This window comes from Homo sapiens, chromosome 3, assembly GCF_000001405.40.
Source record: "Homo sapiens chromosome 3, GRCh38.p14 Primary Assembly".
NCBI classification, from domain to species: domain Eukaryota; kingdom Metazoa; phylum Chordata; class Mammalia; order Primates; family Hominidae; genus Homo; species Homo sapiens.
The window spans coordinates 168,245,365-168,266,762 of record NC_000003.12 but is presented as its reverse complement, the minus strand read 5'-3'; the positions used below and the strand labels follow the sequence as shown (position 1 = coordinate 168,266,762).

Genomic DNA, 21,398 nt, shown 5'->3' with positions numbered 1-21,398 from the left:
TTCAAAGACATTCATCAATATTATGATAAATCTCTTTTTTTTTTTAAGAACACATAAAGCTGAACCTCCCTTGCTTTATACCAATCAACATCCAGAATTTAAACAAACAAAAACAGGTAGGTGCTTCTTTGCTTAAAACTAGTTTATCTGCCAGGCGCAGTGGCTCACACCTGCAATCCCAGCACTCAGGGAGGCCGAGGCAGGCAGATCGCTTGAGCGCAGGAGTTCAAGACCAGCCTGGGCAGCATGGCAAAACTCTGTCTCTACAAAAAAGAAATACAAAAATTAGCCGGGCATGGTAGTGTGCACCTGTGGTCCCAGCTATTCGGAAGGCTGAGGTGGGAGGATTGCTTGAGCCCAGGACATCAAGCCTTCAGTGAGCCGTGATTGTGCCACTGCACTCCAGTCTGGGTGACAGAGCAAGACCCTGTCTCAAAAAAAAGTGATTTCTCATTTTATAAAAGAATTCTGTTCAAAGTAGCAAACTCTTAAAAATCTAAATTACTGTTTAAAGAGCAGTATATTATTCAAATATTATATTGACAAACACAGATTAGAATTATCTAAATCCCTGGGGCCAAATTGTTTGGCATTCAGAATTTTTCAGATCTTAGAGAGGCAATATGATACATATATGTCCAGAAGTGTCTGGAGAGTCACACGCTAATCAAACTCATTAATATTTTTTCAGGGAATCCTAACAATTTTCATATTAAATATAAATAAGGTCTACAATTAAACTCATACCAGATCACTGTAGATTTTGCAACCAAATTAGTTTGTGCAACAAATAACAATAAAAAGTACCTGCCAGTGTTTGGAGCTTTTGGATTTCAAAATTATGGATAAGGGATTATGAAATTATTTTTTATTTGAACACATACTGTCAGGTAAATCAGTCTACTATATAAATTTAAGTAGAATAAAATAATCTAAGAAAGAAAAAGTGTAGCTTGTATGCTGATGTCACGTAGATAAAACATCACTGGAAATAGAAATAACTTTTATGAAAACCGAAAGACAAAAATCTGGTGAACAAAAAACTGATAAGTATTTAAGATAATGCATATGTTAATTGGCTTGATTTAGCTTTTCCACAATGTGTACATATTTCAAAATATCATGTTATACACCATAGACATACACAATTTTTATTCATCAATTAAAAAAATTTAGAAATAACAAATGTTTGCAAGGATGTGGAGTAATTGGAATCTTTGTGCATTGCTGTGAGAATATGAAATGGTACAGCTACTATGGTAAACAGTATGGAAGTTCCTTTAAATTAAAAATAGAACTACCATATGATCCCATAATCCAACTTCTGGGTATATATCCAGAGGAATTAAAAAAAAATTTAAAGTATAGGATCTGGAAGAGATATTTGCACACCAATAGCCAAGAGTAGTAAGCAACCCAAATGTCCATCAGTGAATGAATAGATACAGAAAATGTAGTATTTACATTCAATGAAATATTATCCAGCCTTAAAAAAGAAGGACCCAGGGGACAAAATTATCTGTATACCAAACCCCCATGACACACAGTATACCTTTATAACAAACCTGCACATGTACCCCTGAACCTAAACGTTGAAAAAAATTCAAAAAATAAGGAAATCTTACCACATGAAACAACAATGATGAACCTTGTGGACATCATGCTAAGTGAAATAAGCCAGTAATAATAAAGACAAATCTATATGATTCCACTAAGATGTGGTATCTAAAATAGTTAAACTCAGTTAGAAACTAGAATGGTGGTTGCAAGGGGCTGGGAGAGGGGAAGATAGGGAGTTGCTCAAGGGCTATAGAGTTTCAGTTTTGCAAGAGAAAAAGTTCTCAAGATCTGCTACACGCCAATACAAATAGTTAACATTAATGAACTGTACATTTTTCAGCGGTTACAATGGTAAATTTTATGTCTTTTTTTATACAATTAAAAAAATTAAAGATGGTGAAACTGAAGCATGTGTCCCCTAAAACAAAAAGGATTTCAGGGGCCTCTAGGGCAGATGTAGCCTGTAAAATGACCGTCTTGGTGTAAGGTACCTTCAAATCTGCTCTGATTATTTTCTATCCCCATCCAAAATCTTCTGGCCATGAGGCCAAAGCCACTTTTTTTTTTTTCCAGACAGAGTTTTGCTCTTGTTGCCCAGGCTGGAGTACAATGGCACAATCTCACTCACTGAAACCTCTGCCTCCCAGATTCAAGCGATTCTCCTACCTCAGCTTCCCAAGTAGTTGGGATTACAGGCATGCGTCACCATGCCCAGCTAATTTTTTGTATTTTTAGTAGAGATGGGGTTTCTCCATGTTGGTCAGGCTGGTCTCAAACTCCCAACCTCAGGTGATCTGCACCCCCTCGGCCTCCCAAAGTGCTGGGATTACAGGCATGAGTCACCGTGCCCAGCCAAAGCCGCATTTTTTAAGGCAAAGTAGAGCCTTTAAACGGAACATACGTTATGGGCAAAACCCATAAGAGGCATTTCCAGAAACTGACAACCACAGAAACATATTTTACCTCATGCTGCATGTTTATAAGTGTATAGAAAACACATGATTTTAAAAAGGGTAAGTGAATGCATACTCCCAGTTATTACTGTTTTTGTATAATCTGCATCCTATTATCACTGTCACATCCCAGGATTAAAAGTAGATCATTTACCCTCTCCCCATAACAATTTCTAGTGCAATAATCTTGGGTCTTTCTGGTTTTCAATACACTTTGATGGTATAAACCTTCAGGCCAATTTGATGTTAGTTTTTACTTCTTTCTCTGTTTTCTCATAGAAAATTAAATATTTTCTTGATAATATTTGGGTATAATGATAGGGTGTCATTATTATCAACCAGAAATAGTCTTCAAAGAAAAAATATTATTTAATCACCTCTTACCAGGACGGGCTTAACCAAAACTGGAGCAAAACAAAAGACTGTTACGTTGGGTTGACAATCCTCTACATTTAAATGATAAATGTTAATAACTGTATATAACAGTAGTATTGGAAACAGACTGTAAGTAAGGCTAATTAATCCTTGAAGACATGTATTTTAGAACAAAAACAATGTCATGAAACATATACCAAAGTTTTAGCAGACAAATGAGAACACTGAGTCCAGAAGGTGTGTTGTAGTCTCATTAGCTAACGTGTAGCAAAGCCAGAATAAGAACTTCTAATGCTTACAATTAATTTAAGTTTGGGATAGATAGTTTTTTAATGGGACGGGGGTCAGTGTGGGGAGTGGAGAAACACAAACAGAAGGTAGATTCTCAGTGACAAATTTTAATTCTTTTCCCTCAATTAAATTAGAATCTAGCTAAAGAAATAATGTGGGCAATGAAATAAAAGTTGACAGAAAATGTTGAAAGGGACTTTAAGAGACCCTAGGATTTAGATGAGGGAAAAGAGGGAGAGAGCTTTCTGATGGGATTGAAATTGGGCAATGCAACAACCTATCTTCAGGCATACTTAGCCACTACAAGGAATTCCTCAGTTATTCAAAGAACCAAAAAATATTTAGAGCCTTTACAACCATCACTAGGTCATTAGAGTAGACTATGAGCTCTCTGGTCCTTAAATTTTAATGAGCCTGAGCCCTTTAAATGTGGCACTGAGAGCAACTTTAGATACAAAACAATTAAAATGTTAATGAGATTTCTACTGCAAATAGATTTATGAAGGGTGGAGGGGACACTGACTGTGTTGCTTACTGGCCCAGACTTGTGACTGTTAGTTAAATTCAAGCAAGATTTGCTTTACAAAAGATGTTAGGCATACCTTTCAATGGCTGATGCCTATGATATTTCTCATAGCAAAATTCATTTCAGTATTGCATATAACATGCCTAAAGCCCAGTACAAATATTATTATGTTATCACATAATTGATCAATGTGTATTGCTGGGTCTTGAGTTTTCTACTTGTTTTGTTTTACATGTGGTATTCCAGTACATTTAAAAGAAACTCATATACATTTTTGCTCATCTCCATACATACAGGGTTCAAAAGTTCAAAAGATAAGAAGTAGTTCTCAGCATGAGTAAACCATTAAATGCATTGAAAAATGAATTTTTGATGTGAAGATACATTCCCAGTTTATTCATGCTGAGAATTTTTTTCTTATCTTTTGGACTTTGTAAGCTGGAACAGCAAATTTTATTTAAACTTCATAATAAATAAGCAATATAATTTGACTTATTTTATTATCATGTTCTTTTCTCCAGCTTTATTGAGGTATGATTGACAAATAAAACTGCACAAATTTAAGGTGTATAACATGATGATCTGATATACATGTACACTGCATTGTCAAATGATTACCACAATCAAGTTAGTTGGCACATCTATCATCTCACCTAGTTACCTCTCTTCCCCCATGGTGAGAACATTTAAGATCTCTCTTAGCAAATTTCAAGTACACAATACAGTATTGCTAACTACAGACTATGCCGTACATTAGATCCCCACATATACTTTTGTTTATAACAAAAGCCTTCACAGCATAACAAAAATCTGCAGGTTCGGCAACTTAATATTAGTATTTTGCCCTTCAGAAAGGAAAAACTATTCAAAATTCAGTTACTTTCTCTTGCTTGGCATCCACTACATTCACTCATGAAAATAGTTTTCATAATAATTCAGAGAAACAAAACCTCAAGTCTCCTGGGATTGCTTCTTCTCTCAAGAGTAAAACTCACTAAAGCTCAGAATTACTGTCAATTCTTAATTAACCATATCAGTGAGGAGGAACATTAAACACCACTGAAAACTGTCCACTGAAGAATGACAGAAAACATTTTCCAGATCATCAGTTGACAAGCCACATAATTTATATACTACAAGGAGTTGATTTAACAGAATCGTCTGGAAGTGCCTTTACTAATTCCAAACACGTTTTCGCTGTTATCACATGGTTATCACAAATAGATTTTTTAAAAGAAACTATAGATCTCCAGATACCTATGTCAGACAAAAATATCAGTTAAGATTGCTGAAACAGACAAACATGTAATTAATCCTATCTGAGGGACCTGGAAGTATTTGTGAAATAGGTGACTTTTGTGCTGGGCCTTAGAGATTGGCCTGGAAGAGAAGAGAAGGCAGGGAGTTTGCTGAGAGGAAAGGCACCATGGCAGAAAAATGTGAAGGGCATTTGGGGACGCTAGGTATTTGGAGAGGAAAGAGCTGCAAATGCATGGAGCCAATGATGGTGACAAAAGATGCCACAGTGTATATTGGCCCCAGGAGACACTGCCCTTCCAACAACCTCCAAGGCCTTGCACGCTCTGCTCTCTTCCTACAATGAATGCACTTCTGACCCCAATCCTACCTTGCCTACAAATGCCACCACTTCCAGAAAGCTTCCCATGATTTCCTCTCACAAATTTATTTTCTCCTTTCTTAAAGTACTACTTGAGTTTTAACTCCTTTAAGGTACTTGACTATCCTATCAACAAAGAACATAATACTTGCTTATAAGCTCCCTGGGGGTGGAGACTCTATCTTACCCACCTCTACAGAAGAACCTAGAAAAATGCCTTGATGATTGTGAATTGATCCTGAATTGTGCCCCATCTGTAATTAATTCTGCTGGAGTAGCAGGACTTTCTTTCTACAGTCATTTCTGGCCATAGTAATAATGAGCTCAGAATGATGGCAGATACAGAGTAAATGTTTAGCCAGGCAAAAACACAGCCTGTCAATATAAGAGCACTCCACAGGAGTTTCCACTTCTTGTCATCATGACCAAAAGTGATGGCTATGACAGCGAAGTTCTCAACTAGAATGATGTTCTTCCAGTGATGTTCTATTTATGTAGCTCTAAGTCAATCATTTTTTAGTAGTGACACTTTTAACTATACAAGTTTCTACTTTATTTAACTTCCCTGAGGCCTTCCATAGCATATACCACTCTTTCTTTCCTTCCTCTCAGGCAGTTTCTTAACTTCCTCCTTAGGCCCTTTTTCATCTGTCCTCTGTTCTTATATTAAAATATCCAGGTTTCCTTCCTCAATAATCTTTTTTCCTCACTTTTTTATATACACTTGTTTCCTACCACTTCAACAGCCAAATATAGCTCCAGCCCAGATCACCTTCCTGAGCCTCAGGCCCCTTTAGTGGATTTCTCTAGAACGTCTCCAGCTGAGATCCCACAGACACAGAAATGCCCACATAGTCAGTCACTGCTGAATTCATCATCTTCTTCTCCCATAAGGCTCCTTTCTCTTGTGTTTCTGATATTCTCCATTACCCAGAGGCCCCATCAAGTCTGTCTTTCTCTCTTACCTCCATGCATTCATCAACTCCTATTGCTATTTATCTTTCAGATCTGTTCCCTTGTTTTATTACCACCACTATTTCTTTTGGTTATTAGACTCACACCGCTTCTCTCTGGACTCAACAGCCCTAAACTTATCTTTTACTGTAGCCTCATACAGATTATTCTCCCCAGTCATACTGTTAAGAACATGATTTATGGTTTTCCTAATGGGGAGATCTTGCTGCCTTCTTGCACATATTCTTTTCACCAACTGGAAACGACCACCACCATCACCATCTTTACCACTCATCCAACCTCTACTCAGAGTCAATAACTTGAAAACCTACCCTGAGGTCCTGTATTCTTTCTTCTTATAGTTGGGTTACATGTACCATCTCTGCCAATTTTGTATTGGTAGGCTCTAGTCTGTGTGCTGATCTCCCTCCTGATCTATGAGTTGCTTAAAGAAAGGAATCACCTTACTTCCTTCTGTATCCCCAATGCCTAGCAAAGTACTTGACAATGAATAAATCTTTGCTAAATGGAAATAAAAAGAAAAGAAATCAACTACATATTCAGCAACTGGGTTAGTAATTTGATTTCAGCATCAGTGGAGAAAAGACAAGTGCTTGGAATTTGAACACAGCCCCTTAAGTAAGCTCATTAAACCTTTGTGTTCGTCTAGTTTTAATATGTTCCTATCTATTTTAAAAGAATGGGAAAATCAAGCACTGGATTCAACAAAAGAGAAAAAATACTAGATTTAAGCCATAGCAAAACCTATGCTACTAAAATGGGAAAGCAACATGTTAGGGATGTTGGGAGACAATTCTTCAAGGTCTCTTGCATTTCTGCTTGTGAAAAAGCCTTGACAGCTTTTTTCTGGAAGGATGTTTCTATAAAAAACAATCTTGGAAGATGAAGAGAGTGTCTTCTGCCAGAACTGAGGGCAGAGTTGCTTCCTGAGCAAGATAATAAAGTTCATTCTCCCTCTAACGGCAAGGGTTGGCAGGTTTGCTAGCAGTCCCCTTAGAAGACTGAAGGTTGTCTAAGCTCCAGGTTCCCTATCTGTGACACAAACTCATGGTATGCACAGTATCCATTGGAGCCACTCCTCATTGCCTTCATGGAACTTAGCAAGGAGGCAAGGGCAAGATAACTGATGCAAACATGAAGCTCATGCTGCCTGCTACAGACTAAGGAACTAATAAAGTCATTTGTCTTTGCCCAGGAATCTCATGTCTTCTAGCAGCAACTATGAACTGTGGCAGACTAACTCATTATCTTGAAGGTAAAGTAAAATCTTAGACGCATCACAGATCTTGAGTAGCAGAAGGGGACTACAGGCAAATTTAAAAAAACAAAAAGCAAAAAATAAATAAATAATAAATAAAAATAACTATGTACTCAATAAATGTTTATAAAATTAAATAATACCAAAAAGATAAGGCCTTGAATACAGTGTGGTAATTAAGTGCTCAGATTCTAGAGTCAGACAGCCTGGGTTTATACCCTAGCTTTATTACTTATTAATTACATGACCTCTCCCCTGAGCTTCATACTGTTATATGTAGTTTCTCCAGAAAACCTTAACTTCCCTGGACTTCAATTTCTTCATCATAAATGTTGATACAAACATTACCTTCTGATAGGGTTGCTGTAAGAATTAAATGAGTTAAAATATGCAAAGTACTTAAATTATTCCTGGCACATAATAAGTGCTATTTAAGAACAATATTATGAATCCCTGAGCTGATTTCATGGATAATCAGAGTTCTTAAGAAAGGAAATGATGTCACTAGATCTTTGCTTTAAAAACCAATCTAGATAAAAACTAAGTAGTATATATAATAAAATAAAGAGGATTGAGAGGATATGAAAGAGAAGATCAACAAAGAGATAACTGTAGTAGCCTAGGAGTAAAAATAGCATAACAGGCTTAAGTGTTGGCATCAGGAATAGGAACTAATTCAACAGATATTTTGTTGTAGGTGTTGACAGAATTTGGCAACTGATAGGAATATAAATATTAACTTATATTTATCGAATTGCCATAAACAAAAGCCTTTTCACAACCATCTTACCTAAAGCTCATAATAAAACAACAATGTAAACTGGGAGACAAGTAACAGAGATTTAAAAAAAATTCAAATAAGACAAAGGAGAAGACAGACAAAGTACCTGAGAAGAAGATATAGAAGGAGACAATAATGACTAGAGATGATCTAAGAACATTTTGAGTCTGAAATCCATGGAGATGATAAATCTATAGTTGAAAATGCAAGTCTATAGCTCCAAAGAGACTGGGGCTGGATGTACAGATCTGGGTCTCATAAAAATAGCACATATGATGGAAGCCAGTGGGAAGAGATAAACCAGTTAATGTATAAAGAATGGAAAGAGAAATAAAGATAGAAGGGGAGAATGCAGGCACCAATGGAGGAGGAGAACTACAGATGATACTACATGTACAAAGGAAAAGTACGAGATGTAAAAAAAGTAGAAAATAGGAATTAGTAATGTCACATGCTACAGAAAAATAAGGGTTAGGCAAATTCTGAAAAGAGGGTAGCCTCTGAAAAGGACATTCAGCAGAGGAGGCCACAGTGCAATGGGTTAAATGACTGATGATTAGAAAAAAACAAAGGAAGCAGCATTAATGAGCTGTTTTTCAGCAATGGAAGGTGAAGGAGAGAAGAAGCAAAGTCAACACAGACCTGTATATAGACAAAACATCTTATAGACATACAGTAGAGACAGATGTAGAATGCAAGACTTGAATATGATTGGAAAAAGAGAAAAAACAGTAGAATGGAAAGAGATGGGAATGAATGATAAAAAAAGAAATGACAGAGAAAATATTTTTTAAATGGGATCTGGAACATACAGGGAGGGATTACCTTGAAACAAGAGTGGTAAATGTATTTCTATGAAACACAGAAGAAAGAAGAAAAGTAAACATATGTAAATAATATTAAAACTGAGGACAGGGACACTGAGAAAATCCATATAATAAAATGTCAATATCATCAATAAAGTATGAACTGGAATTGACTACTAAAACTAAAGGGCAAAGGTTTGAATCTACTTGGGGAGAATAGGAGCAAGAGCAGCTACTGCTGAATTTAGGTAAACAGATCCAGACTGAGTAAAAAGATCAGAGTCTCATAGTTTGAGAGCATATGAAGGAAAAGCCAAAGGTAAAGGGAACAGCACGGAGTATGGTGATTATGAACAGAGCTCTGGAGCTAGACAGGATGGGTCTATACCCCATTCTACCACTTCTCAGCTATGAAACTTCATGATAGTTGCCTAACCTCTTGATATGGTTTGGCTGTGTGTCTCCACCCAAATCTCATCTCAAATTGTAATCCACATGTGTCGAGAGAGGGACTTGGTGGGAGGTGACTAGATCATGAGGGTTGTTCCTCCATGCTGTTCTCATGACAGTGAGAGTTCTCATGAGATCTGATGGTTTTAAAGTGTTTGACAGTTTTCTACTTGCTCTCTCTCTCCTGCCACCATGTAAGATGTGCCTTGGTTCCCCTTCACTTTCTGCCATGATTGTAAGTTTCCTGAGGTCTCCCCAGCCATACAGAACTGTGAGTCAATTAAACCTCTCTCCTTTATAAATCACCCAGTCTCAGGTCATTCTTTACAGCAATGTGAAAACAGACGAATACAGAAAACTGGTACCAGGATAGTGGGGTACTGCTATAAAAATAGCCTGAAAATGCGGAAGCAACTTTGGAACTGAGTAACAGGCAGAGCTTAGAATAGTTTGGAGGGCTCAGAAGAAGACAGGAAAATCTGGGAAAGTTTGAAACTTCCTAGAGACTTGTTGAATGGTCTTATCCAAAATGCTGATAGTGATATGGACAATGAAGTCCAGGCTGAGGTGGTCTCAGATGGAGATGAGGAACTTATTGGGAACTGGAGCACAGGTCACTCTTGCTATGCTTTAGCTTGCTATGCTTTAGCAAAAATGCTCAAATCTCTGGGGCATTTTGCCCTTGCCCTAGATATCTGTGGAACTTTGAACTTGAGAGAGATGATTTAAGGTATCTGGCAGAAGAAATTTCTAAGCAGCAAAGTGTTCAAGATATAACCTGGCTTTTTCTAAAAGCTTACAGTCATATGCATTCACAAAGAGATGATCTGAAATCAGAACTTATGTTTAAAAGGGAACCACAGCATATAAATTTGGAAAATCTGCAGACCAACCACAAGTAGAACAGAGAAACCCATTTTCTAGGGAGAAATTCAAGCTGTGGCTGCAGAAATTTGCATAAGTAAAGTGAAGCAGAAAATGTCTCCAGGGCATTGCAGAGATGTTTATGGCAGCCCCTCCTATCACAGGCCCAGAGGTCAAGGAGGGAAGAATGGTTTCCTGGGCCAGGACCAGGGCCCTGCTGCTCTGTGCATCCTTGAGACACAGAGCTCTGAGTCCCAGCCACTCCTGCTCCAGCCATGGGTAAAAGGGACCAAGGTACAGCTTGTGCCATGGTTTTAGAGAATGCAAGCCCCAAGCCTTGGAAGCTTCCACATGGTGTTGGGCCTGAGGGTGCACAGAAGAGTTGATGTTTGGGAACCTCTGCCTGGATTTCAGAGGATGTATGGAAACACTTGGATGTCCAGGCAGAAGTCTGCTACAGGGGCACAGCCCTCATGGAGAACCTCCATTAGGGGAGTCAAGAGGGAAAATGTGGGGTTGGTGCCCCCACACAGAGTCCCTACTGGGGCACTGCTTAGTGGAGCTTTGAGAAGAGGGCCACTGTCCTCCAGACCCTAGAATGGTGCATCACCAACAGCATGCACCATGCACCTGGAAAGACTGCAGGCACTCACACCAGCCCATGAAAGCAGCCACAGGGGCTGCACCCTGCAGAGCCACAGAGGCAGAGCTGCCCAAGGCCTTGGGAGCCCATCTCTTGTGTCAGCATGCTCTGGATATGAGACATGGAGTTAAAGGAGATGATTTTGGAGCTTTAAAATTTAACAACTGCTTTTTTGGGTTTTGGATATGCATGAGGCCTGTAATCCTTTGTTTTGGCCAACTTCTCCCATTTGAAATGGGAACATTTACCCAATGCCTACACCCCCACTGTATCTTGGAAGTAACTAACTTGCCTTTGACTTTACAGGCTCATATGTGGAAGGAACTGCCTTGTGTCAGGTGAGACTTTAAACTTGGACTTCTGAATTAATGTTGGAGTGAGTTTAGATTTTGAGGGACTGTTGGGAAAGCAAGATTATGTTTTGAAATGTAAGAAGGACATGAGATTTGTGAGGGAACAGGGGCAGAATTATACAGTTTGGCTTTATGTCCCCACCCAAATCTCATCTCAAATTGTCATCCCCATGTGTTGAGGGATGGACCTGGTGGGACGTGATTAGATCATGGGAGCAGTTTCCTCCATGCTGTTCTCATGATAGTGAGTGAGTTCTCATGAGATCTGATAATTTAAGTGTTTGGCAGTTCCCGCCTTGTTCTCTCTCTCTCTCTCTCCTGACACCATGTAAGACATGCCTTTCTTCCCCTTCACCTTCTGCCATGATTGTAAGTTTCCTGAGGTCACCCCAGCCATGCAGAACTTTGAGTCAATTAAACCTCTTTCCTTTATACATTACCCAGTCTCAGGTAGTTCTCTACAGTAGTGTGAAAATGGACTAATACACCTCTCTGTGCCTCAGTGACCTCATCTGAAAAAGATGATGGTGTTATCTACCTCATATGATTGTTGTTAGGATTGAAGATATTAATATACAAACTGCTAAAAAATGTTTTACCCATAGAGAATGCACACAGCCTTCTCTTCTCAAATTCATTTTCTGCTCATTTAATGTGCCTGACCTCAAAAGAAAAAAACTCTTTTCCAATTAATTTAAATTAATGAGTAAACCCAGACTATGTTTAAATTATTTCTAAGTTTAAGGGGATTATTGGCCTGGTGTGGTGGCTCATGCCTGTAATCCCAGCACTTTGGGAGGCTGAGGTGGGCGGATCACTTGAGGTCAGGAATTCAAGACCAGCCTGACCAACATGTAAACCCTGTCTCTACTAAAAATACAAAAAATAGCTGAATGTGGTTGGCATGTGCCTGTAGTCTCAGCTACTCAAGAGGCTGAGGCATGAGAATCGCTTGAACCCAGGAGGCAGAGGTTGCTGTGAGCCCAGATCACACCACTGTACTCCAGCCTGGCTGACAGAGTGAGACTCTGTTTCAAAAGCAACTAAGTAAGTAAGTAAATAAATAAGGGATTATTATTAGCCCCACATATCTCTAGTTCACTCATGATATGGTCTGAATGTTTGTTTCCTCCTGAAATTCCTGTGCTGAAACCCTAACTCCCAATGTGATGGTAGTAGGAAATGTGGCCTTTGAGAAGTGATTACATCACGAGGGTAGAGCCCTCATGACTGAAATTAATGTATGCCCAAGGGAGCTCCTTTACCCCTTGCACCACCTGAGGACAAACCTATATCTGTGAACCAGTAAACAGGTTCTACAAGACATCAGATCTATGAAAATCCAAGATTCTGAGAAATCTTGGATTTCTCAATCACCAGAACCATAAGAAATAAATGTTTGTTGTTTAAAACCCACCTAGTTTATGGTATTTTGTTACACCAGCCCGAACGAACTAAGACAGCTCAATTTCAGGCTGTATAATATCAAAAGTTTAAATAATAATAATAAAAAGAAACAAATTCCAGCATGTGTGGGGGACAACAGACAACTCTGTCATCTCTCCTTCACTATTCCAAATTATTATCATAGATTATTGACTGGCTCTATTTCCAAATCCATTGGTTCTTCATAAAATCTAAGTCACTGTCACTCTCTCTCTGACTGACCCTAAGTTTCCACATTAACTACAGAAGCCTGTATTAAGCCTGTAACTAAGAGGTGAAACATAGTTCTATGTATGTGTGTCATGGGAGAGGGGTAGACAGTTTCATATCAGCCATACTTGGGATCTGTATGTCAAAACTGCCTGTACTATCTTAGGGGATGGAAGTGAAATGTCCTACACAGTTTAGACTACTGCTGAGTCACAAAGTGGCCATGTTGTTTAAAAATTCCCACCAGATATCAGAGAAATCCAAGTATCACATGTCCCAGGAGCTTAAGCTACTTCATCTTCCTTTATTCATTTATGCCTGCTATGATATCTGCAACACTCCCATGTTTACTACTTTTCATTAGGATGCATAAAATAATTATGCAAGTGTTTACAAGAGTACATTACAAAAGATAAATTTTAATAGAGTGCATTACAGCCAATCATTTTCCTTTGATGTCTCAAAGATCCAGAGTAGAGTTTATTTCCTCCTATTTAATCCTTCAGAAAACATTTGCAGAATACCATTAACATAAGTAAACTCTTCAATATCCCTTTATCAAAATGCCGTTACCAGTTACAACTCTCTAATTTTTAATGCACTTGCCTCAGATAACTACTCCCACTGTATAATATCCAGTTTAAACCTACCCCCTCATTTTAATACTCAAGTACTTACAGCCATGAGAGAGGAGGATAATTTCCTATGAAGAGTCTCAATAAGGAGGAGATAAATCAGATCTTCCTTGTGAGGAACTATCCTACCCATAGCAGCACAATTAGCATGCCAACCTCTCTCCATACCCACCACAGAATGCCAACAGAACCATATAACTATGGCAACAATCAAAAAAGGTGGCACAGGTATCTCAACCACTAGGTAGAAGGTACCAGCTCTACTCCCACTGAAAACGCATTGAAGTGATTAAAAAGAACTTCTTAAAAACAGAGGCTGGGCCTGAGCGTTCTTAAATGGACTGCATGTGTTAAGAACTTCAGCTCTGGAATCCAACTGCCTAGGCCCAGATCTTCTGAATTTCTGGAATGTAACTTAACCTTACTGTGTCTCTTTCTTTGTCATAAAATGGTATGATAATGTGCCTACCTCATAGGGCATTTCCAGGATTAAATGAAATAATACATGTAAAGTAGCTAGAAATTTGCCTGGCATGTAAGAATTCAAACGGATTAATTGTTGCCTGTGATTTCTAATGCCTCTGTACGTAATAGGTACTTAGGCACTCTTCCAAATGCTGATTTTATGAATCTGCCTAATATTAGTTATTCAAGATTTCCTAAATGTGGTAAGACAAGGTCATCAGACAGATCAATTATCATTAGAGTTGGAATATTCATATTTCATCTTTTGCTTTCTTAAAAAAAATTTCTTTGGAAATGAGCTTACCTTCAGAGGAATACACCATAAACACAATGACTGCTGGTTAGCTGCACAGTTGTTTCTTATTTTCACTTGTCACCCCAGCTCCAAAATTTTCTCAAGTACAAGTTTAGCTACATCAAACTTTTACCTGTGTTAATGACCTATAAGTGCCAGTCAGTAAGATGATGCATTCTCATTAGTGGTCTTCACCTCATTAGAAGCCTGCTCTCACTGATAATGGACATCAGAGGTCAATACAAATCTCAGGAAGAATTCTCTTTAATTTAATAGATAGGCAGGTATGCGGAAGCCAAGTGCTATCTATATGTGGCTACATTTCACATGCCTACAACAATTGCAAAGGCATCTGAAGAAACCTAGCACTAAATCCCAACACGATTCCTGCTGAAGAAACCACCATTATGTCTAATACCAAGGAGAACTACAAAATTTGGATTTTTCCCATCAAGATTTCAGAAAGTACATCCTGGAAAACATCCTCAATGACATCCTGGAAAAAGCATCTGTATTAAACACTTAAGAATTCATATATTTTTTAATATCTGATCTCATCTCACTTGATAAATAAATGAGCTGCAGTAGCAGTATCCTTAAAAGAAAAAAAAATGCAGTGTCATCCCTCCAGCCTTTTCAACAAAAGAGTCAATATTGAAACCTGAGGTAAAACAGCCAAACAAGGTCAAAAGTGATGTAGGTATTTCTGTTATTTCTCAGTTCCTCTCCAAAGGGACTGTTCTGTCTCAGTGTGCATGGGTGATTTCGTGGCTAATTAGCCAACCTAGGATCCACTTAAATAAAGGCACTTGTAAAGGTAAGAGCATGGCTACTCTGCAAGCTTTCTAAAAGACAGTTTCTAAGAAGTGCAGGCTTACGCATGCACAAGCTATCCAAAGTCGGATGTGTTTTCTGAGATAAACTGAAGAAGAAAAGTCTAAATCAACCTTCTCTTCAAAATAAACAAGACACATCAATTCAAGAGAAATCACATACCCAGAAACGTGGCATTTTTGCCAAATACATATCTACAAACTATGTAGGCAAGAAGTTCTGAGATGCCACTGACACCCTGGCCATGTGTCAAGATTGAATCTCACATGAAAGAAATGAAATATGGAAATGTAATTTGAACCCTGAAATCGAATTTTTCTTACAGGAAAAAGTAAAGCCTCAGAGATCTATGGATGGCTTTGTGTACTTATCTAAGCCATTTTTCTATAATAAAGTATTCACATTTCAGAAAGGCAAAGGTGAAGCAGAGTAGGAGCAAAATGGCAAAAATGTTTACATGTTCAAAATATTCTGGTGTCTATTCATAACCGCCCAGGAGCAGAAATCGAAAAGCAGAATTAGATCTGTTTTCTCTCTCAGGTGGTTCGATGATGATTCCGCTGAGGCTACAGAATTCAGGTGAAACTTCTCCAGCCAGTCAAGAGGACTAGGCAATTTGTAAAGACTTAGACTTCCCGTGAGCTCCTCGCTAATGGTTGACACGGTGACAAGAATTATCTCCTAGCTTTCATGATTTCTAATCCGGAATGAAACCATGCCCATCCTGAGACGATGCGTTTGAGTCACCTTCCTACTAACTCTTCAGTTCTCTAATAAGGGGACTAGCAGCTAAGTGGCCGAGCACTCAATCCTTCATATACTCATCTCCCCAGCTCCTCACTTCGGCAGACGAGCCAGGATTTGCCTCTGGTCAAACCTGTGGAATAAACCACTCCGTCCGACTCGGCGATACTTCCCCCAAAAAAAGAAAGAATACATGTGCACGAACTCATTGGTCTCTACAAAGAAAAAAATGTCAAACTCGGTGTTCGACAGGATTTCATTCACAACCCTGTCACAAAGTGGTAGTCATTAGCCAATTACTCTTAAAACAGAAAAATAACGAAAACACACACATACCACGCGCGCACACACCCAAACCTGGGGGCGGGGGACAAAAATCTGTCAGGCGCTGAGGAAGTACCGGGTGGAGAGCACACCCGCCCCGGTCGCGGTCTCCGCTCCCGGGCTGGCGCTCCCCAAGGACTAGCTGGGGACTGCGTTCCGCCGCGCTCCGCCCGGGACAGCCCGCAGCCCCCGCAGGTGTCTGTCCCCACCTCCTGCCCCCCATCCCTTCCCGGGCTCGGGCCGCGGTGTCCGCACCAGGTCCGAGGTGGGGCGGGGCATACTGTTGTCTGCTCTCTCCAAGCGTTCCGGAGCGCGCGGGCGCCACTTACATGCCCAGCCGGAGCTGTAGGGCGCTTCCTGGCGGCCAGCCGGCAACCGCCCAGGCAGAAGCACCAGAGCCACAGTCGCGAGGACATCTCGGCGAGGCTGATCCGCCCTGGCCGCCGCCCGGGCTGCGCGCGGTGCGCCGTTCCGGCTCCGCAAGTCCGAACCCGGCGCAGAAGTTGGGCTTGTCGGGCAGAAGTTGGTGCAGGGCTCGTGAGGCTGGCGCGGCGCGTCTGTCTGCGGAGGGAACGGCAGCAGCTTGGCCCCAACAGGCGTCACAGGCGTCTGGGAGCGCGAGGAGCGGCCGGGCGAGCCCCAGAGGCTCGGTGGCCGCTGAGCTGCATGCCCCTGCTCCGCCGGGAGCAACTGAAACCGAGTGAGCCCAGTGGCCCAGCAGCCCCCGCAGCCCCGGTGCCATGGAAACGCGCTCGCCGCCCTCCCGCCCCAGCCCCTCCGGAGCGCTTAAAGAGACAGCCCCGCCGCCACCACGGGCTTGAGGCGCTGCTGGGCGTCCCCCACGCCCTGCGCCCTCCTCGACCCCTCCTCTTCACCCAGCCGCGGCGGGGGCTGGGCGCTGGGGGCTGGAAGGGCAGCTGGGACGCAAAATAAGGGGCTTCGCTCAGTACTCAGCCTAACTCTGCTCCCACCTCTTCCTACCCGCCCCCCTCCCAGCATACACACTCAAATCCCGCCAAAGAGCCCAAGCAGTCCTGGCTTTTCCTCTCAAACATCAGCCTGCTCAGAACCAAACCAGTTGTGCACGAGCAGAGACCAAAAGAAGGCTGACTTTTGATTCTCTTGTTCTGCTTGGTCCCCACCCCGAGTCTGGGGAGTCGGTTAGAGCACTAGGCTGAGGGAGGTGTGTTTGAAGTGGGAACCAATTGTCAGTTGATTGAGTCAAATCTGCCAAATCGACAGTTGCAGGACATATCGCCGGCTCATCCAGAAATCCTCCTCACTCAAAACGGGGTCATCTCTCTTCGTTTTATTTGGCTATCATCTCACCCCCTTTAGGCACCAGAGTTATAAGGAGGAGCCAACGCTTTTACAAACTTAATCCCTCCTTTCCTTCAAACCAGCTCCTTTCCCCCAAATATAAGGAGGAACAGCCAGTCGCGAGCACCATGGCCCCTCCAGAGACGAACAGCGTCCGCTCCTGCTCGGAGCGGGAAGCTCTCTGGCTGCGGTGCTGGCCAGCGCAGCCTGGGACGCACGGCCAAGCGCGATGCAGTCGCCAGCAGCTCAGGCCGTAGGCTGTGCCTCTGCCCGGTGCCAGCTGTTGTCTGGAAGGCCACAAACCTCTGGAGTCTGTTTCGTGAAAATAAAAATCTATGGTGCATCGTGCCCTCCAACAAAGGACAGCCCAGGCTCCGAAGCCATAATCTGCTGTTTATCCCTGAAAAAAAAAAAAAAAAAAAAAAATCAATCTGCAGTGGGACGACTTTTTTCTTTGATTCCTAAACTTACCAAAAGTGGCTCTCCAGTGACTCATTCATAGTTAAATACTGTACTTAAAGTGGTACCACCTGATTTCCTCAGTTCTGGGAGCCCTAAAAGGACCTTTCCCAAATGGTTATGTGGGCTCCCTCTTGTCCTGAATATTTGAAATAACCATCTGGCTCTTAGTTTCAGTGTTTTGAGCCTTTGTTCCCTTTGTTTTTTTTTTGTTTTTTGTTTTTTTTTTTGACGGAGTTTGGCTCTGTTGCCCAGGCTGGAGTGCAATGGCGAGATCTCGGCTCACTGCAATCTCCGCCTCCTGGGTTCAAGCGATTCTCCTGCCTCAGCCTCCTGAGTAGCTGGGACTACAGGCGCGCGCCACCACGCGCAGCTAATTTTTTGTATTTTCAGTAGAAACGGAGTTTCACCATGTTGGCCAGGATGGTCTCCTGACCTCGTTATCTGCCCTCCTCGGCCTCCCAAAGTGCTGGGATTACAGGCGGAGCCACCGCGCCCGGCCCATTTGGGCTTTTACAGAAGGGATTGAGAAGCAAACTTTTGTCGTTTCTCTGAAAAGGAAAAAAAGGTGGAGGTGAGATAAAACCAAACTACTCCTGAATTCTTCAGCATTCTGTGACTTTGCTCTCCTTGAGCTTCAGAGTTTGGAATTCATGCCACCCTATAGTATTTTCTATTTCTCTGAGACATATCTGTATCTTTTACTCCTTTTAAAATTGAAGTTTAATTTAGTAAACTGAAAAGCCACAAGTACAAGTACGTAACTAGACATCTTTATCCTTTGACAAACATCTTTAACAAACATAATTTTTGAGCTTTCCACAATAGAAATCATTACTTAACCCCCCTTATTTCATTTTTTTAAAAAAAGGATTCATTCTGACTTCTCTTTCTAAATGCCAGATATACATCAACCAGGCCTTCTCTAACCCCAGAGACAGTGGACTTGGTGATAGTGGTGATTATATCTACTGTAGAGTTGCATTGTAACTTGGCTAACTCTAATTAGTTCTGATATTAACAGGCCTAGCATAGGCTGAGAAAACACGTTGACAATTTAAAAATATATTTTTAACTCTTACTTCTAACTTCTACTCAACCTCTTGGCCACCTTTTTTAACAAGTAACAAAGTTGATTGCTTAATTTCACCTCCTCTTTTTTTTCTTCCCTCTTCTAGTGAGATGCTAATGAACAGTGAAATGACCAAGGCAGTCAGGGCACTGTGGGGGAACAAGGAAAGAAAAGAAACTGGATAACACACAAAAATGGTGGCTTCTGAACTGATGGTACTAACTATATAAGGTGGGGCTGTTTTTCTCCCCATCTGGATATAGCTATAGGTAAAAAAATATAATAATAATCCTCTCCATTGATTCGATTTTTTGTTTGTCTTTTGGATGAAATGTAAAGACTCCAGATTGTTTCAATACAGTTTGATCTTAATTATTTTAATAAAAATGTATAGCATACCAAGAGATGACAGTAAAGATTAATTGTACCCCAAAATTTCCTTTGACTTGCTAAGCTTTTATTTGCTTCTGAACTAATTTTAACTCTGCTTGGATGTATCCCAACCAATTTCATTCCCTCCTGGAATGTAAAAAGTTTCTAAACATTCTCTTTCATAATATCGCTGAAAGTCTTGCATAAATAATAGATCACATTTATTACAAGACTAAATTTTATGTAAGCCACAGCTAATATTCAGAACTATTTTAAAAGCTAAAGAATAATAGAAATACAAGAATGTATGTAAATCATCTGATCGCATAGTTGTTTAGTGAAGGACAGCTTAGGTACATGGGAAGTAACTAAGCCCATTGAAAATCATAAATTAGAAAAGTTTCCTTTTATATACATTAGTTTCAAAGCACATTTTTACTATAGATGAATATTTAAAGCACTTAGGATGCTACAGCATAAATATGATTAGTGTACATTTCAGAAAGTGAGATTTATTTCAAATTATTCTAGCATGGATAATAATATGAACACAATGTCATGTAAGCAACAGCATTAAATGAAATATACTTTTCTAACACAAGTGTTAAAATTTTGCCATGAACTTGAAAACACTGATTTGAAATCAGCTCCCCTTCTGCAGTATATTCATACAATTTTGAAATAACTGGTTATTTGGTTTGATTGGTTGGGTATGCTATATCTTTAAAACAAAAAAGTATTATGAAACCTGTTAGTTATAATCTTCCATATTAAAAGAACAATGCAGTTTGGTGTTTGGAGGTTGTTATGGACACCCAAAATGAAGGCAGACACAGACAAAACAATTAACTCCACCTTTATTGTCAAAGGAAAATAAATTTTAAATTTAACCGAGCAAGAGAATGAGCCAGTTACACAAAAACCAATTTTAAAAATAAGAGAATAAAAAGTTTTGTGTTGATGATATCCCTTGCTTGGACATAAATATTACAGAAAAAATCCAGAAACATTATCAATTGAGTTTTATTTTTGTGAATGATCTTGCACAATCTCAATCTAGAGAGATTCTTAAAAATGAGTTAGAAATTGCAGACAAACATTCTATCTAAAAGGAGTCCTAAAGATTTTGAGGGAGTCCTTCAGTGGGAGTTCCACATGCCACTTCACTCTCCCTCCAGACCTGTATCAAAGGAGTAATAAATCTAACCAGCTTCTCTCCTGTTAGGAAGGGGTGGGGTAAGCCAATTTAATGCTTTATGTATGCTGGTTGTAAAAGGGGATGCTTACCTATAAAGAAATAAATTTCGACCAGATGTTCTAAAAATCTTCTTGAGTTCCTGCTTGAAGCTTTACAGCTACCAAATACTTTATCTTCTCAGCTATCTTCTTCTAATTTGTTGATCCATGGCAATTCAACAAGCAGGCTGCTACAAAAACCTTCCAGCCAAAGCTTTTCAGTCCTGCTCTCCTGCACACAAAAACTTCCAGTGTCTATATGGGGACAGGAAAAGAGTACAGGCCACTTCATTCAGCAGGTGTTGAAGGTTGAAAAAGGAGGACGTCAGAAAGCAATTCTTTAAAGGGCAGCTTCTGTCACCTGAAAGTGTAATAAATTCCCATTATAAAAATGCCTACAAGCACTAATGAGACATGCACATTGAAATCTTGATGTCAGACAAAATAGAACGAAATTCACCCAGGAACCAACTGAGACTGTCCCACCAAGATGTGAATAATCGTTCTCCCTTTGGCATAATCTGCCACTAAAT

General features: G+C 40.2%; 1 pseudogene across 1 annotated transcript in view, besides 3 other annotated features; it reads right to left on the bottom strand.

The window, feature by feature from the left end:
- EGFEM1P (EGF like and EMI domain containing 1, pseudogene) overlaps window positions 1–17,241 on the bottom strand; it is a 581,078-nt pseudogene extending 563,837 nt beyond the window's left edge. Inside the window, exon 1 of the transcript NR_021485.2 lies at window positions 16,736–17,241. The product of NR_021485.2 is annotated as an EGF like and EMI domain containing 1, pseudogene (transcript). The remainder of the gene's footprint in view (window positions 1–16,735) is intronic.
- Window positions 16,363–16,692: a silencer, noted in NCBI's record as "silent region_14871". NCBI's record gives its function as "represses an Ori minimal core promoter by ATAC-STARR-seq in GM12878 lymphoblastoid cells {active_cell/tissue: GM12878}" and the evidence as "EXISTENCE:reporter gene assay evidence [ECO:0000049][PMID:35858748]".
- Window positions 16,823–17,022: an enhancer, noted in NCBI's record as "active region_20777". NCBI's record gives its function as "activates an Ori minimal core promoter by ATAC-STARR-seq in GM12878 lymphoblastoid cells {active_cell/tissue: GM12878}" and the evidence as "EXISTENCE:reporter gene assay evidence [ECO:0000049][PMID:35858748]".
- Window positions 17,363–17,452: a silencer, noted in NCBI's record as "silent region_14870". NCBI's record gives its function as "represses an Ori minimal core promoter by ATAC-STARR-seq in GM12878 lymphoblastoid cells {active_cell/tissue: GM12878}" and the evidence as "EXISTENCE:reporter gene assay evidence [ECO:0000049][PMID:35858748]".